This window comes from Homo sapiens, chromosome 4 (assembly GCF_000001405.40).
Source record: "Homo sapiens chromosome 4, GRCh38.p14 Primary Assembly".
In the NCBI taxonomy this organism is placed as follows: Eukaryota; Metazoa; Chordata; class Mammalia; order Primates; family Hominidae; genus Homo; species Homo sapiens.
This window is the reverse complement of record NC_000004.12, coordinates 49,231,372-49,250,737: the sequence shown is the minus strand read 5'-3', so window position 1 is coordinate 49,250,737 and position 19,366 is coordinate 49,231,372. Positions and strand designations below refer to the sequence as shown.

The following is a 19,366-nucleotide window of genomic DNA, read 5'->3' as shown; positions in this document are numbered from 1 at the left end:
ATGATATTTCCTAAGTTTTCTTCTAGGGTTTATATAGTTTTGGGTCTTACATAAGTCCTTCATCCATCTTGAGTTGATTTTTGTATATGGTGAAAGGAAGGGAGTGTACATGCCCCTGTGATATTGTTCCTAATATCCAGGTTGGGAGAGGATATTATACTCAATATTGCAGGAAGTGTCGACCACCCTGAATGTTGCTTTTAATATCCGGGGAGAGAGGGTGATATTACTCCCAATATCATCCTCTCCCCCCACACCCTGCATAGTACAAGCAATATCAAAGGGGGTCTGTGCAACACGTGCAATATTGGGAATAATATCCTCCCCCAACATGGATATTAGAAACAGTATCACAAGGGGTTGTACACCACCTGTGATATTGGGGAGTACTATCATTTTCTTTCCCCATGGATATGTAGAACAATATCACAAAGGTGGTGTACAACCCCTGCTATATTGGGAGTAATACTGTACTTTCCCCACCTAGATATTAGGAACAATATCACGGGAGGTTATACACCACTGCAACATTGGGAGTAATATCATCCTTTCCCTCCCTGGATATTAGGAACAATAACTCATGGGTGTCTACACCCTGTTCCATATTGGGATTAATATTTTCTCCCTTGCTGGACATAAGGAACAATATAACGGGGGGTATACACTCCTTATGATATTGCCAGTAATATTATAGACTCCCCCCAGGGATATTAGAAAGAGTATCAGAGAGGGGTGTACATCCCCTGCGATATTGGGAATAATATTCTTTCTTTCCCTGGATATTAGGAATAATATCACAAAGGGGTTGTATACCCCCCGTGACATTTTAATTAATATCATCTTCCCCACTGAATATTAGGAACAAATTCCCAGGGGGTTGTACACCACCTGCAATATGGACAGCTATATCATTGTCTCTCCCCCGAATATAAGGAACAATATCACAAGGGGGTTGTACAACCCCTGTGATATTGGGAGTAACTTTATACCCTTTCCACATGGATATTAGGAACAATATCACAGGGTGGTTGTACACCCACTGCGATATTGGGAGTAATATCATCCTCTATCCCCTGGGTATTATGAACAATATCATGGGGAGGGAGTGTATGCCCTCTGTGATATTGGGAGTAATATCATCCTGTCCCCTCTGGATATTAGGAATGATATCACAGCGGGGCTGTACCTTTTCTGCATTATTGGGAGTGGTATCACCCTCTCCCCCTATGGATATTAGGAACAATATCACAAAGGGGGTGTACACATCCTGCGATATTGAGAGTAATATTGTCCACTCTTCCCCGAGATATTAGGAACAATATCACAGGCGGAGTGTACACCCCCTGCTATTTTACCTGTAATATTATTCTCTCCCAACCTGGATATTAGGAATAATATAACAGGAGGGGTGTACACCACCTGTGATATTGGGAGTAATATCATTCTCTCCCCCCATGGATATTGAGAACAATATCACAGGGGCGGTTTACACCTCCTGCGACATTTAGAGTAATATCATCCTTTTCCCCCATGGATATTAGGAACGATATCACAAGGGGGGTGTACATGCCCTGTGATATTGGAAGTAATATCATCGACTCCCCCCACGGATATTAGTAACAATATCAGAAGGGGTGTACACCCCTTGCGATATTTATAGTACTATCATCCTATACCCCCTGGATATTAGGAACAATACCACGGGGGGTGTATACCCACTGTGATATTGGGAGTAATTTCATCCTCTACCCCTTGGATGTTAGGAGCAGTATCACAAGGGGGGTGTGCACCCTCTGTGATATTAAAAATAATACCATTCTCTCCTTCTCTGGATACTAGGAATAATATCACAGTGCTGGTGTGCACCCTTTACACTATTTGGAGCAATATCACCCTCTCCCCAACTTGATATTAGAGACAATATCATGGGGGGTGGCGTGTAACACCCTGCACTGTTGGGAGTACTATCATCTAGTCTTCCCCTGGATATAAGAAACAGTATCACAGAAGGGGTCTACACCTCCTGAGATTTTGGGAGTAATATCATCCTCTCCAAATCTGGATATTAAGAACAGTATAATGGGGTGTGGGGAGTAATATGGTGGGAGTAATACAATCCTCCTCCCCACTTGCTGTTAGGAACAATATCGCAAAACGTGTGTACACCCACTGTGACATTTGGAGTAATATCAACATTTCCCCACCTGGTATCACGGGGAGAGTGTACACTCCTTACGATATTGGAAGTATCATTGTCTCTCACTCTCGATATTAGGAAAAATAGCACAGGGTGTGTATACACTTCCTGTGATTTTGGGAAGAACATCATACCCTTCTGTCTTTGATATTAGGAACAATATCACAGAGGGGGTGTACAACTTCTGTGATATTATAATATTCTTTCTTCCCATGGATATTAGGAATGATATCCCGGGGGGCTTGTTGTACACACCCTGTGATACGGACAGTAATATCATTGTCCTTCCCCCTACATATTAGAAACAATATCACAAGGGTGGTATACACCCCCTGGATATTAGAAACTATCACAGGGGGGCTGTACAACCTCTTTGATACTGTGAGTAATACCATTGTCTCCCCTCCTGGGTATTAATAACAATATCATAGGGTGGGTGTACACTCCCTGCAATATTGGGAATAATATCATCCTCTCTTCCCAGGGATATTAGGAACGTTATCACAGGTGGGGTTTACACCCCCTGCAATTTTGTCAGTAATATTACTTCTGGATGTTATTGAATATATCACAGTGGGGGTGTACACCCCCTGTGATATGGGGAGTAATAGCATCCTCTTTCCCACTGGATACTACAAACAATATCGCAGATTGTGTACAACCTCCTGTGATATTGTTCACAATATTTAGGGAAGGAGAGGATGATATTACTCCACATATCGCAGGGAGTGTTACATCCCCTGTAATATTGTTCATAATATTTAGAAGACGACAGGATGATATTACTCCCAATATAGTAGGAAGTATACACTCCCCTGTGATACTGTTCATAATTTTTAGGGGATTAGAGGATGATATTACTTCCAATATCACAGGGAGTGTACACTGGTGATATTGTTTATAATTTTCAGTGGATTAGAAGATATTATCCAGAATATCACAGGGGTTGTACACCCCAAGTGATATTGTTAATATCCAGTGGGAAAGAGGATGATATTACTCCCCATATCACGGGGGATGTAAACCCGTTTGTGGTATTGTCACTTACATCCGGGGGGGAGAGGATGATATTACTCTGCATATCATAGAGGGTGCACACGGCTGTAATGTTGTCCATAATAACATCCAGAGGGGAAGAGAATATTATTCCCATGTTTCAGAAGGTGTACACACCCCTGTGATAGTCTCTGTAACATTTAGGGAAGAAGGGGATGATACTACTCCAGATATTGCAGGGGGTGTACACCCCCCTGTGATACTGTTCGTAACGTTTAGGGGGAAGAGGATGATATTACTCCCCATATCGAAGGGATTGTATATCTCCCTATATATTGTCCATAACATCCAGGGCAGGAGAGGATATTACTACTCCCCATATCACAGGGGGTGGACACCCCCCTCTAAATATGTCTAACATCCAGGCGGGGACAGGAGGATATTTTTCCCCATAACCCAGAGAAAGTAAACCTCCTGTGATATTGTCCATAACATCCAGTGGGGAGAGGATGATATCACTCCCCATATTGCAGGGGGTGCACACTCCACTCTGATATTGGCCGTAATATCCGGGGGGGGGGTGAAGTATGAAGTCACTACACATATCGCAGGGATTATTAGTATCAGATTGTTTGAAGGGCTCACAGTAAGGGTAGTAGTAGGGCGAGTTCTAACTCAAATAGGGGAAATGTGATGGCTACTAGAAAGAATTTTATGGAGAAGGGAATGTGGGCAGAGGATAGAGGGTCAAATCTGCATTCATAAGGGCTAGATTTTTCTATATATATTTATTTTATACATATATATATATTTATTTTATACATATATATATATATTTTTCTCTCTCTCTACATATATATATTAAGTTGTGGGAGCCAAAATGTAATAATTATTAGTAACAGGGCTAATAGGGTGTTGATTACTAGGGTTAATGTTAGGTGAATTACTGTTTTTCGGATGCTATCAAAACTTTGGAAATCATGGTACTATTTATACTAAAAGAGTAAGATCCTCATCAATAAATAGAAACATACAAGAATAGTCATACTACATCTACAAAGTGTCGATATCAGGCAGCGGCTTCAAAGGCAAAGTGATGACTAGATGTAAAGTGGTATTTTAATTGGCGGAGAAGGCAGACTGAGGAATGTTGATCCAATAATGACGTGAATTCTGTGAAAGCCTGTAGCTATAAAAAAATGTTGAGCCATAAATACCATCAGAAATAGCAAAGAGAGCTTTGAAGTATTCTGAGACTTGTAGGAGGGTGAAGTAAATATCTAATATAATTGTAACAAGTAGTGCTTGGATTGTATGTTTTTGATTATTTTTTGTTAGGCTGTGATGGGCTCAAGTAATTGAAACTCCTGATGCAAGTAATACAGATGGATTCAGGAGAGGTACTTCCAGGGGGTCAAGGGGAGAAATACCTGTTGGGGGTCAATGCCCTCCTAATTCTGGAGTAGGGGCTAGGCTAGAATGGTAGAATGCTCAAAAGAATCCAGCGAAGAGGAATATTTCTGAGCCACCATGCCCGGGTAATTTTAAAATTTTTTTTTTCTAGAGATGTGGGTCTCACTATGTTGCTCTGGCTGATCTCAAATTCCTGGCCTCAAGTGATCTTTCTGCCACTGCTTTTTAAAGTGATGGGATTACCGTCATGAGCCACCATGCCTAGTATAGAGTGTAATATTAATTTCAAAGTCTTATTCCTAGAGCCATGTATTGACTTTGGCCTAAATAACTCAATATGATATCTCTGAAACTTTTTTTTACATATTGTGGGGAATGATAATGAGGGAAGGGGATTAGACACTTTTTACTAGGAGATAACTTTGTGCCATTTAAGGAGGAACAAAAATAAATTATCAGAAAAATAAAAGTAAGATGAAGTACAAAAGTTCTGTGGCAAAGATGATGATAGTAAAGAATATATTTTTATGACTCATGGTAGCTTTAACATTGTTCTTAAAATTCTGAGTAATTTAAGGGTTCACATTTGAAGAATCTGATGCATTACTGATAACATTTTATTGCATGTAAATGCATTTTAAAATTTGCTATTGGTTTTGTATTAGATTATTCTCAGCCTACTTCATTATCAAGCTATACTATTTTATTTATGCAGTTTGATGATCTTACGGCAGAGGAGGAAGCTGTATCTTCAAAATGTGTCAATTTGGCTAAAGACAATCAAGTTATCCAACAGGAGTTATTATCTATGAAAAAAGTACAACAAGAATGTGAAAAACTTGAGGAGAATCAAAAGATGTTGGAAGAAGAAATATTAAATCTCAAGACACATATGGAAAACATTATCGTAGAACTTAGTGAACTACAAGAATATAAATCAGAGCTAGATGAAAGGGCAATGCAGGCAGTAGAAAAATTAAAGGAAATCCATTTACAGGTTACTTGTTTAAATCAGGTAAGTTTACCTGTAATGTGCTTTCATTTATTTCACTGCAAATTATATTTTGGAGATTTTATATATATATATATATATATATATATATATATATATATATATATATATATATATATATATATATAGTGTTTCCTCTGCCTCTCTTGTAGCAATCTGCTTTGTAGAGTTGTAGAAAAAAATGGCATCTGTTTTTTCTTTTAAATATTTAAATTTCCATTATTATTATGAGAAAATCAATCTTTCAGAGTAATGATTCTCATTATGGAGTCATTTGATGATTAAGACCAGTTGGCATAGGAAAAAATTGTGATTTAGAAATTATGTGATACTTTTGAATTGGTGTTAAGCTACATTGTTCATTGATCACTTTTTCAAATTATGAATGGATTCTATTACTTTTTATATGACCAGATTACATTAATACTAACATAATTATGATTTCAAATTTTTATAAATCAGACTTAATTCTGAATTCAGTTATTAGTTTTGATATTGCTGAAATATTTTAAGCTTCAGCCTCTTTTTTAACATATTCAGAAATGCTCTTTGAATCACTGACTCAAAATGAAAGGCAACAAACATATAATAATTATGTTATTGTTTTAAAAGTGTATTATTTTCCTTTGTTTTAGTTACAAGCACAATATAAAAAACAATTAGACCAGTTAAACAAGGATAATACGGCTTCACTAAATAAGAAGGAACTCACACTTAAAGATGTGGAATGTGAATTCTACAAAATGTAAACTGCTTATGAAGAGGTTACAACTGAGTTAGAAGAATATAAGGAAGCCTTTGCAGCAGCATTGAAAGCTAACAATTCCATGTCAAAAAAATTAACGAAGTAAGTCAAAACATACACTCAGAGAATGAATTAAGCTCATTAATTTGTTTCAAAAGCATAATTTTTAGTGAGATGGCTTCAGGATATTAGTAGGAAGTGAATGTTAATTTGACAATGTAATTTTGAAAAACAATGTTAGTAAATAATCTTACCTTTTAATGTTAGTCAAAGATAGTTTTTGTCTCTCCTCTCATTTTTTTTTGTTTGTTTTTGTATGGCTTTTTCCCCTGAAAAGTCTCATGTAATTAAACTGATCTGTTAGTTTTTTTCACTATGTATTTTTGAAGCTTTATAATTAATGAAGTGATCCTGTTATAAAATTACTTGTCAGAATTTCCCTAAATAGAAATATTAATGAGTTTAATTTCTTTTTCAGTGGATCACAACCTAAATGAAAAGTGGTACTGTTACTTTGGGCACAATCGTTTTTGATTGTGATCTTTAGTATTATCATCAGAGGGTGCCTCAAGAAAGACTATTTGTGTAACATATTCAAGATGTTACAGAAAGGCATCCTTGTGAAATAAGGAATAATTATCACAGGAATTTAAAGAAGTGTAATTCACAAAGCGGTTAAAAAATAACACCTTGTTCAGCCAGAAGGAGTGTTTGGAAGGCAGAAAGAACATGCCCCACCTCCTGGGCCTTGGTCACAGTGTTGGGGGCTAATTGCCTTCAGAGATGCTTTAGTTCTTTTTGATCACCAACCAGACAATCTAGTTCTCCCCTAGGAGTTGTTGCTCTGAATTATTCTTCAGTGCCAAATGTTTAATTGGTTCTAGATAATGGGTGAAATGTACAAGGGTGAAATCTAAAACTGGTTTACTAAACACAAGTACTCCTAGATTTTTTTAATTCATTTTAGTTTTCTTAAACTACATTAAGGAATACAACATGATGTTTTGATATAATTATTTCTAGTGAAGTGGTTCTTATAATCAAGCAAATCAACATATTCATTTTCCCACATTATTGCCCTTTAAATACAAGTATTTCTAATGGAATCTTCAGAATCTTACAAGTAGAGCCATTTTAGAAGGCAGCAAATTTTGCCTGTTGAGCCATACACCACTGATAGCCATTTCTCTTCCCTGTCTACTTTGTTTGAACTGCTTGTTCAGTGTAAATCACCTTAGAAACAAAGGTGCTTCTTTAGAATGATTTTAAAATTATAATTCCTTACAACAGGTATGCTCTTACACATCTTCGGTGTGAAAACACTATTTAGTGGGTAATTTGGTTTACTCTCAGGGCAACACTTTAAATGTAATGACTGCAAGGCATTAAGAATCATTTAAGGAAATATGAAATACTAAGCATTTGTCTTTGTTATCTTTACAGATCGAATAAGAAAATAGCAATGATCAGCACCAAGCTCCTTATGGAGAAAGAGCAGGTGAAATATTTTCTCAGCACTCTTCCTACAAGGCAAGGTCGAGAGTCACCTTGTGTTGAAAATCTTACTAGTATAGGACTCAACAGAAAATATATTCCCCAAATGCCCATAAGAATTCCTACTTCAAACCGTCAGACTTCAAATAACTGCCAGAACTACTTGACTGAGGTTAGTTATATGACCGTTTCTCTTTAGGGTTTCATTTCTCTAGCGTAATTCTTGTTTATAATTTGGTGAAATACTGAGTTGTTCTGTTGACTTTTTCATGTGAAGTAAAGATCATAATTAGCTGTGTTAACACAGAAAGGAAATGGGAATTTTACATTTTTTAATTCCCTGGAGCCCTCATTTTCAAGAGATATCCATTTGCTAACTTTATTCAATAAATGTGACTAAACTGACACATTTAAAATGTTTTTAAATCTGCATTTAAGTTAGGTTTTAGAAATTACATGTTGTTGCCTGATAACTGATGATATACTTTGAGATGCTTTGGCTTACTCTCTAATTGACTGTAGTTAGGTGTGGTTCATACCACTTTTTTTTTCTTTTTTTTGAGGCAGTGTCTCACTCTGTCGCCCAGGCTGGGGTGTCTTGGTGCCATCTCCACTCACTGCAACCTCCACCTCCTGGGTTCAAGTGATTCTCCTGCCTCAGCCTCCTGAGTAGCTGAGACTACAAGCACCCACCATTACACCCAGCTAATGTTTGTATTTTTAGTAGAGACAGGGTTTCACCATATTGGCCAGGCTCTTCTTGAACTCCTGACCTTGTGATCTGCCTGCCTCAGCCTCTCAAAGTGTTGGTATTACAGGCATGAGCCACCGCACCCGGCCCATGTCACTTTTAAAGTTTCTTTGCACTGGCCAGGTGCTGTGGCTCATGCCTGTAATCCCAACACTTTGGGAGGCTGAGGCAGATGTATCACGAGGTCAGGAGTTCAAGATCAGCCTGTCCAAGATGGTGAAACTCCATCTCTACTAAAAGTACAAAAAAAATTAGTCTGGTGTGGTGGTGGGCACCTGTAATCCCAGCTACTAGGAAGGCTGAGGCAGAGAATTGCTTGAACCTGGGAGATGGAGGTTGCAGGAGCTGAGATTGCACCACTGCACTCCAGCCTGGGTGACAGGGCAAGATTCCGTCTTGAAAATAAAAAATTTAAAAAAAAGTTTATTTGCACCATCTCAATTCTTCCCACCCATAATCACAACTGAATGATTGGCATCCAAACAGTTTACCACATATGGATGTTTATTATTTAGTAGAATCCAAAATAATTGCATTTTATTAATTAAACAAAACACTAAAATATTCAGTTCCATTTTTATGTTAAAAGCTTTGTGCTTGGCCAGGCACGGTGGCTCACACTTGTAATCCCAAAATTTGGGGAGGCCGAGGCAGGTGAATCACTTGAGGTCAGGAGTTTGAGAACAGCCTGGCCAACATGATGAAACCTGTCTCCAGTAAACATACAAAAGTTAGCAAGGGGTGTTGGCAGGCATGTGTAATCTCAGATACTCAGGAGGCTGAGGCAGGAGAATCACTTGAACCCAGGAGACAGAGGTTGCAGTAAGCCAAGATCATACCACTGCACTATAGCCTGGGTGATGGAGACTCCATCTCAAAAAAAATAAAAATAAAAATAAAATGTTTGTGCTTTTCTTACATAAAAGTACATCTTCTGACTATAAAAATCCTGGAAGAAAATCTAGGAAATTCTCCTTTAGACATCATATTTGTCAATTAATTTATGGCTAAGTCCTCAAAAGCAATTGCAAGAATAACAAAAATTGACAAGTGTGATCTAATTTAGCTAAATAGCTTCTGCACAGCATGAGAAACTATCACGGGATTAAACAGACAGACTAAAGAATGGAAGAAAATATTCACAAACTATGGATATAGCAAACGCCTATTATCCTATTATCCAGAATCCATAAGAGACCTAAACAAATCAACAAGCAAAAAATAAATAACACCATGAAAAATGGGCAAAGGACATGAACAGATAGTTCTCAAAATAACACTTGTAGTGGCCAAACAAACATTAACAAATGCTTGCCGTTGCTAATTATCATAAAAATGACAAACAAAACATCAGTGAGATACCATTTCACACCAGTCAGAATGACTTTTGTTAAAAAAAAATAATAAATAAAAAAATTAAAAAAGATGTTGGGGAGGCTGTGGAGAAAAGTGAACACACACTGTTTGTGGCAAAGTTAATTAATTCAGCTATTCTGGAGAGCAGTTTGGAAATTAAGAAGTAAGAAAGACTGTTGGATACAGCAACCCCATTACTACACTAGAGGTATACCAGAAGGATAATAAATCATTGTAACAAGAAGATGCATACACATGTATGTTCACTGCAGCACTATTCACAATAACAAAGACGTGGAGTCAATCCAGGTGCATCCAAGGTACGTTGAAAATCCAAGGTAGATTGGAAAATTCCATATATACCATGGAATACTATGCAGCCATAAAAAGAACAAAATCACATCGTTTGCAGCAACAAGCATACAGCTGGAATCCACTCTCCTAAGCAAACCAACACAGAAACAGAAACCAAATATCTCATGTTTTCACTCACGTGGGAGCTACACATGGGGTGCACATTGTCATAAACACGGGAATAATAGACACTGGAAAATAAGAACGGGGAGGGACAGAGTGGGCCAGGGTTGAAAAACTACTTCTTGGGTCCTATGCTCACTACCTGTGTGATGAGTTCAATTGTGCTGCAAACCTCGGCATCCCTAAATATGCCTTTGAAAGAAACCTACAGAGGTACCACGTTAATTTAGAATACAAACTAGAAAAAAAAAAGAGAAAAGTTTACTATAAGTAGAGAACAGAAATTTCTTTTTAAGATAAAATTTATTGAAGTAAAAAATGGGTTAAACTTTCATAAAGGGCAGAGTTTTCTAAGAATTTCAAAGCAATCCATTCATTGCAAAAGATGGCTTTAATTACTTATTTTTTTTTTTTTTTTTTTGAGACAGGGTCTCACTCTGTTACCAGGCTGGAGTGCAGTGGTGCAGTCTTGGCTCACTGCAGCCTCCACCTCCTGGCTTCAAGCAATTCTCCTGCCTTAGTATCCCAAGTAGCTGGGACTACAGGTGCGCATCACCACGCCCAGCTAATTTTTGTATTTTTAGTAGAGATGGGGTTTCCCCATGTTGGCCAGGATGGTCACGATCTCCTGACTTGTGATCGGCCTGCTTTGGCCTCCCCAAGTGCTGGGATTACAGGTATGAGCCACCATGCCTGGCCATTGTTTAACCTTTGTACTAATAAAACACTACCTTTCTAAAATCATGTATATGCAATAGATCAATATTAACTGCATTTTTGTCAGATTACTCTAAACAGCATTACACATATACATCCTCTGTTATCTAATCTTAAAATAAGTAGAAATTTTACTTTATTTATGTGATTATTTTTCTATTTAAGCAAACTTCAAGTTATGTCTAGTCACTAAAAATACTAAAGGCCACATTTTGTAAGTGATGTCTTATTTTTATGATAATGTTTCTTGTTTAACTTAAACATTATTATTATTTTTACTTATTTTAGATGGAGCCGGACTGTGTAGAACAAATAATTAGAGAAACAAAGAGAAGTACGTTGCCAAAATTTATTAATTAAATTTAGGTTTATTTTAGAAATAAAGTGTAAATAGCAAATGGCATTCCTTTTCATTCTTGGGTTAGTAGATACTACATCAATATTTTTTTTCTTACACACATCTAATGAAAGATGTGAAAACAGAAACTTTCACAGAGAAGACTGTACTTATACACCATAAATTCATCATGTTCCAAAGCTTAAACAGTTCCCAAGAAGTCTGTGCATCTCTTTTTCACTGGCTCTACACTTTCTTAAGTTTTGCCATCCTCATGGAACTGTCAGCCAGCACACTGAAACGATTCTCAGAAAACAAAAGCATCATCAAGTTCTCAGGGTTTCGGTAGAGATTGAAGGCCAACAGACCTAAGACTCATTAAGAAATACTTAGCTGAGCAATAACCCTTCATAAGCAGTCACTTGACAGGTGACATTTTAAATCTCCTGTCAATTACTGTGTCATTGGCTTACACTTGTTCTCAGGAAAAGTTCCAAATTTTTCACCATGAAATAAAAACACCCATATCAAAGTAATTCTCGTCAAGTTACTCAGCCTTGTCTCTCGCCACTTACTGCACTCTGCCCTTTGCTCTAGCACCAAACTGGATGGAGTGGAACTCTGCAGGGCTCTTCCTCACCTCTGGCTCTTTGCCTTCCCCTCTTCCCTCTATCTGGGAAGCTTTTTCTTGCCCTTCAGGTATCAACCTATGTTATCTCCTCCACCAGAAAGCCCATGATATTGACATAAAAGTGGGTAGATGTCCCTTCTATGTGTTCCAGTAGTGCCCTGCTCTATACCTGTCATGGTATCTTTGACTCTATATGGACATTGCCTGCCTGTCTGTTTTTTTTTAGGTTATAGCATATGACTGTTGGGAGGTGGACCATGCCATCTTCATCTTGTAATTCCAGTGCTGGTTCTAGTACCTTAGCATGTGGCTGTTGATTACATGAATGAAGAATGAAAAACTCTGATATTTAAACACAATTAGAATTAATGCCATGTGTAAACTATTAAATAGTAATTTTGTATTGTAAATGCACATACATATTTCTCATTCTTATTAACTCTGATAAAGTTATCAACTCTTTAGTTTTTAAACGCACACTTAGTCAACTGAAGTGTTTTAGGTAAAGAACATAATTCTTTATTTTTCTTTCCAGCTGCTGCTGTGTCGGACACTTGCTCCCATCTACTTTCTTCTCTAGAATCCACGGGTAAGCCACATCTAACGAAGAGAATATTTAACCATAAAGTCTTAAAGAAAAATTGTATGATTTAAAAGATTATAAAACTTTATTACTGGGCTATTTACACATTTTAGTTGTTTCTCATAAAATGTATAACATTACAATATTTACTGAAGTAGGATATTTTTGTATGATATATATGATGATAATTTATAGGGTATTTTAAATGATGTTTTTTAGCCTCCTTAAGTTTTAAGTGGATCTTGCAAATGAAAACCAGTATTATTGAGTTTGACATACTCAAATTGCCCAAATGTCAGCTGTTTAAACAACCAAGTCATCATTGATACTTTAGTAAAGGTTAGTAAAGGTCATCAAAGTCTTATTTGCATTTTACAGTTTTTATTACTTAGGAGACTTAAGGAGTACCTGCCAGGTTTGTCCATGCTAATGTTATGATTTTCTTTTTGTAGTTCAACCGTATTTTGTATGGAGATACTTTGAGGCTCTGTAAATATCTTGTTACTCCTCAGAACCCACTAGATTTAGCATTTCATGATGACTTGTGTTTGAACAATTATTACTTTGATGGATGCCAGATGATTATTTTCCTATTGTCTTCTTTGTTCTACATGGAGAAATAAAACCAATAAATAAGGGAGAAGGAAAGCTCTTGATTCTGATGCTTCAATTCCCCAAGATTAGGCCAGTAGTAGACATTCCAAGCTGACTTTATGTCTCTTTGATTTGTCTCCGTTACTCTGTCAGCACTTTTTTAATTTCTGGCAGAAGATGTTCTAAGCTCATCTTGTATTTTCTCTGCCCCAGCTCTGGAATGAGTAATTTTTTTTAGAAGCAGAGGTGGAGCCAATGAGGAAGCACAGGTGAGCCCTCCCCAGTGTGTACTCACTGGTCCCCAACAGAAGAACCGCTGCCACATCCACTGAGGTACCAGGAAACTAGCAAAGAGCCTTCTGGCTGTCTGGAGAGAGTCCTCATGTGGTCCCTGGCTGAGCCTCAGAGGTTCTGGATTAGTCTTCCTGTAGCCTCTGTGTTGTGTCTTTAGATCGGGGCTATATGGGAAGGGCCCTGGGAGACCCAACAGCACAGTGTGTCTCATCTGCCAAACGTCCCTCCCTTCCTCACACTCTGACACTCAGGAATAGGGTAGATGGTGTGTCCAGGCAGTGTCAGGCCACCTCACTTTCTCCTTTGAGACGGCCCAGAGGGCCTTTGGTGTGAGTGTGGAGCTGGGAACCTGGAGCCTGAGGCCAACTGTCTCTCCCTGTGTCTTGGAGGAAAGGCCATGTCTCAAAAAAACCCCCAGGGCCTGACCTCTGGGCACACATGCAGGGAGGGAGGGTCTATGAGCTGAGGGGGACATTGTAATGAGACTTTGAGCCCCGTTGCTCAAGGGCCTGGTCAGTGGACCATGGTCAGAGATGACCTGGTCATCAGGACCTAGTCATGTGGGACCTGATCAGCAGGGGCCTGGTTAGTGGCGGCCTCCTCAGTAAAGGCCTCATCAGTGGGGACCTGGTGACCTAATCATTGGAAGCCTGGTCAGTGGGGGGACCTAGTCAGTGGTGGCCTTATTAGTGGGGCCTGATCAGTTGGAACATAAACAATGAAAAACTGGTTGGTGAGGCATATACAGTATACCAGAGGCCTGGTCAGTGTGGGGCCTTAGTGGCTTGGAACCTGGTCAATGAGGGCCTGGTCAGAGGGGGCTCGGTCAGCTAGGGACTCATCCATGGAGAATTGTTTAGTGGGGGGTCGGGTCAGCAGCAACCTGGTAAATTGTGGTCTTGTCAGTGGGAACCCGGTCTTGTCAGTGGGGACCAGGTCAGTGGAAAATTGGTCAGTGGGGTCTGGTCCATGAGGCCTATTAAGTGTGGGCCTGGTTAGGAAGACATGGTCAGCGGGGACTTGATCAGTGGGACCTGGTCAATGGAGGAGTGGTCATTAGGGGCCTCATCACTCATCACTGGGAACCTGGTCAGGGATGATTCGTCAGTACGTGGCCTGCTGGCCACTATTGGACCTTAGGCAGGGGGCTTTTCTCTGTCACCTCCTTGCCTCCATCTGCAGGGAAGGTGAGTCAGGGCACCCTAGAGGGTGGCTGGAAAGAGAAGGTGAGAAGATGTGTTGAATCCAATACTGCTTGACAAACCTACAACTTTACAAATGACCTGTGTTCCACCTAGAGAGGGTGCCAGCCCTCTCAGCAGTATGCAGTGCCTCTCTTCTGTCTACATCCCCAGGACCACCATGGGTGGGGAGGGCAGAGATTGGGGAGCACCTATAGAGGCTCTAATGCTCTAAGGTGACAGTGATGAGGACCTGGGTGCACCCATGGGTGGAGAAGCTAGGCCTGTCCAGAGAAGCAAGACAAACACACACATACACGCGCACACACACACAGGCACACATGCGTACACAAACACATTGTATATACACATGTCAGTTCAGGGGATAGAGGACACTGACTCTGAGCCCTGTTGACCCAAGCAGGCTCCCGTTGTGGTGGGTTGTCAACCCACAACATCACTCTTCCTGAGTCCCCATCGCCTCTGTGTTGTGGAGAAGTTAGAGACACACAGCAGTGTCTGTGAGTAGCTCTGCATGAAGGACCATTTTCTAGATGACAGACACATCTCAACACAGCTCACTGATCAGACTCAGGTGAGTGGGACCTGCTCTCCTCACTTCCTCCTGGCTTGGGGACAGTCACTATCAGGTGGGTGGTTTTGGCCTCTGGGCAGCTACTGAGGGTAATCCCTGAACACTCACCGGGTGCCTGTTTTGTGCTGACAGTCGTCTCATTCATCCTCACAGCAATTCCATTCTGCATTTTTCTCATCACCCCCCTGACCACCCAGGACAACCCCATCAGGGCCCTGTCACCAGGCCCAGTCCAGCTCCATGATAACCAAGACACAGGTCCAGAGACTACCGTCCTGCATCGTGCCTGCATCTGATCCCCCTTGGTGGGTAGTGACCAGCACAACATGGAAGAAGCCAGGGCAGCATGCAGCTCTGCAGCCCCAGATGGCTCCTGGGCCTTGGGAAGTCATTCTTAAAAGGGAAGCTGGTCACTTTGAGGTCCCTGAAAGGAAGGGTGAACGTGCATCCCAAAAGCCCTGGCAGCCGGCAGCCAGCAGCCAGCAGCATGGCATACATCTTCTCACCCAACCTGTGTGACAGAGGCCCCCTCCTGGGGCACAAGTCCCATACCTAAAGCATCCTGTCCCAGTCGGACCTCATCCTGAGCCCTGGGAGGGGAGGGGCACCATGGGTTCCCTGCAGCAGCCAGGATTACCACCCAGGGGACTCGGCCTTCTGTGGCCCTGGCCAGACTTAGAATTTGGCCCAAGACAAGCTTACTCGGAGCAACTTCTCAGTACCTGGGGCCTGTGCATGCCAGGCAAGGACAAGCTGGCTCAAAGAGCAACCAGCTACCTCTGCAAGGGTGTGCCAGGAGCAGGTGGAGCAGTCACCAACCTCACCCACTCAAGGAAACAGGGATGGCCAGGTTCCCACAGTCTGAATGACCACCACCTGACAGCTGATGGAGTGGAGGCCTGAGGAAAAGCAGATGGCACTGGGGCTCTACCTCCAGGGCAGAGTAACTGATTTACCCTGGCTGGCAGGGAGTGACGTTGGTGGCTGGTCTATCAGCTCTTGGCACACCCTTGCAGAGGTGGCTGGTTGCTCTTTGAGCCAGCTTGGCTTTGCCTGGGATGAATAGGACTCAGTGCAACAAATGTGCTGCAAATGGAGCCACATAGAGGAAAGGAGCAGCAGGCTCAGGAGCGGGGTGTGTGCCACCTTTGGGGCTCCAGTCCATGCATAGGGGCTTCTACAGCACTGTGGGCTTCTCAGGTGCCAAGAGGCAGAACACAGGCCATCTGGAGGATGACTCTGGTAAGAGCTTCCTTGGGTATGTAGATGATGTCCAGAATGTTGGCCTGGTGTCCCTGAGACAGCACTAACAGGTCCATGACTGGGTCCAGGTCCTGCCTGGGCTGATTGGCAAAGAGCTCATTGACAGTGTGGAATGCATCTATGGTGAAGTGGATCTGTGTTCAAGTGCAGAAAGGGCCCAATCTGGTAGATGAACCACACAACCAGCGTCTGGGTGCAGGCACAGTGCCACATTTTTTGTCACTTCCTGATGTACCCCACCAGCACTGAAGAGACAGCCTGGAGACAGGGCAAGAGGAAGGCTGAGAAGGATGAGATGGTGAGTGCCAGATTCTTCCTGGCCCTGAGCCCTCCCTCAGAGTGACACTCAACCTTTAGGAGTGGGAGAGCAAGATTGACGGCTTCAAGTGCTTCACCAAGAAGATGGACAACAGGGCTCTCAGGTCAACTTCACAGCCAATGAGTGGTGACAGGCTTTAAGAAAGAGCATCTTCCACATTGTCAGTGAGCTCTTTGCCAATCAGTCCAGGCAGGACCCCGACCCAGCCATGGGCCTGTTAGTGCTGTCTCAGGGACACAAGACCAACATCTTGGACATCATCCAGATACACAAGGAAGCTCTTACCAAAGTCACGGAGAGCAGGCAACATGTGGCAGAAGGGAATACAGAGGTGCAGAGGCTGATGATGTCAGAATCACAGGAACAGGATTTCTTTGGCTACTTTGGCTGAAATTCACCACTTCCATCCAATTCCAGTGAGAGACATGGACTCACAGATGCAGCATTTCTTGCAACAAGAGATACTACTTTTTCAAAAAGTCACTGAGGAATTGATAGTGTTGAATGACTCAATACTCAATCGTGGACTGTTTCCAGTTCAAGGATACTTTCTACAGCAGAATAATAACACTAGCAAAGAGCTAGTACAAGGATGGTTTTGTGCTCAACTGAAATCCAGCTGAATACAGAATTGTATAGGAAACAGTTAATGTGGTGATAGAATAGAAACAGTAGCAAATGTGAACTAAATCATGCTATGAATGCCTAAACTACTGCTGTAACTTTTGGAAAAATGATAATACCACTTTATTGCTTTTTGAAGAATGAATATTTTAGTGTATATGCTCTAGACCTCAAACCCTATAAAGATTCTCAAAGAAGTTGGCTGGATAAAGCCTACTGTGGATGTCTTTATATTCAAAGATTGATGATGCAATTTGAATATGTGTCTCCTCCGAATCTCATGTTGAATTATATTTCCTAATGTGGAAGGTGGATCCTGGAGTAAGGTAATTGAATTATGAAGGCAAATTTCTCATGAATGGTTCAGCACCATCCCCTTGTACCGTCCTCACAATAATGAGTGACTTCTCATGAGGTCTGGTCACTGAAAACTCTATGTCACCTCCCTACTCTCCGTGTTTTCCCCTTGCCATGTGAGACAACTAATTCTTTCTTTGCCTTCCATGATTATTGAAAGATTTCTGAGGCCTCCTAGAAGCAGAAGCACTGTGCTTAGAACCATGAGACAATTAAACCTATTTTTCAAAATAAATCATACAGAAAATGGCAAATGAGGACTGGAGCACTGCTATAAAGATACCTGGAAATGTGGAAGCAGCTTTGGAACCCGGTAATGGACGGAGGTTGGAAGAGTTTGGAAGGCTCAAAAGAAGACAGATAGATGAGAAAACTTTTGGACCATCTTAGAGTCTGGCTCAATTGTTGTGACAAAAATCCTGACAGAAACATGGACAATGAAGACCAGACTGAGGAGGTCTCAGAGAGAAATAAGCTTTCTGGAAAATGTCTTTATTTTTGATATGGAAAGCTTACACAATGCCTGTACCATCATTGTACCTTAGAAGCAGTGAACTTGCTTTTTTCAGAGACTCATAGGCAAAAGAGACTGCAGCCTTGACCCAGATGAGATTTGGACTTTGTAACTTTGAGTTAATCCTGAAATGAGTTAAGACTTTGGGAGACTGCTGGCAAGGCATGATTGTATTTTGCAATGTGAGAAGGACATGAGATTCATGGGGTCAGGGACAGAATAATACGGTTTTTCTCTATGTCCCAACCAAAACTCATATGGAATTATATTTTGTAATGTTAGAGGCGGGGCCTAGGTGGAAAAAGATTTAGTCATAAAATGGTGCAGGTAGATACTTCACGAATGATAAAGGACCATCACCTTGATGCTATCCTCCTGATAGTGAGTGACTTCTCATGAGATCTGGTTGTTTAACAGGCTGTGGAACCTCTTTCCTCACTCTGTCTTCCTCCTACTCCTGCTTTAGGAGACATCTCATTGTCCCTTGGCTTTCTGATATAACGAGGAGTCTTCCTGATTCCTCCCAGAAACAGAAGACACAATGATTCCTTCACAGCTTGCAGAAACATGAGTCAATTACACGTCTTTTATTTACAATAATACAGAAAATTAGAACTGCAGAGAGGAGCTGTGAAATGTCTTCAAGGCCTTTTACCCTTTGTCTTGGCTATTAGCAAAGGGCTTCTTTATATGCAAATTTCTGAAATCTTCTTGAATGTTTCCCCTTAAATGGGATTTTTGTTATTGCTACCTAGCCAACCTGCTATACAGATAGCTAAAAAAGTAGAAGCAGGCTCAATAGTGGGTAGCAAACAAAGATTGGAAGGGCTTGGAGGGATTAGAGTACTAGAGGGAGTGGGAGGGAGTGATTTAATCATGGATGGGTGGGGGTGTATGTGGAAGGGAAAAAGGGGTG

General features: G+C 40.9%; 4 pseudogenes; 2 read left to right on the top strand and 2 right to left on the bottom strand.

The window, feature by feature from the left end:
* On the bottom strand, positions 3,823-4,137 carry MTND3P22 (MT-ND3 pseudogene 22; annotated as a pseudogene).
* MTCO3P39 (MT-CO3 pseudogene 39) lies at positions 4,200-4,717 on the bottom strand (annotated as a pseudogene).
* Positions 6,254-11,540, top strand: LOC124900699 (ankyrin repeat domain-containing protein 18A-like; annotated as a pseudogene).
* SNX18P23 (sorting nexin 18 pseudogene 23) lies at positions 16,779-17,823 on the top strand (annotated as a pseudogene).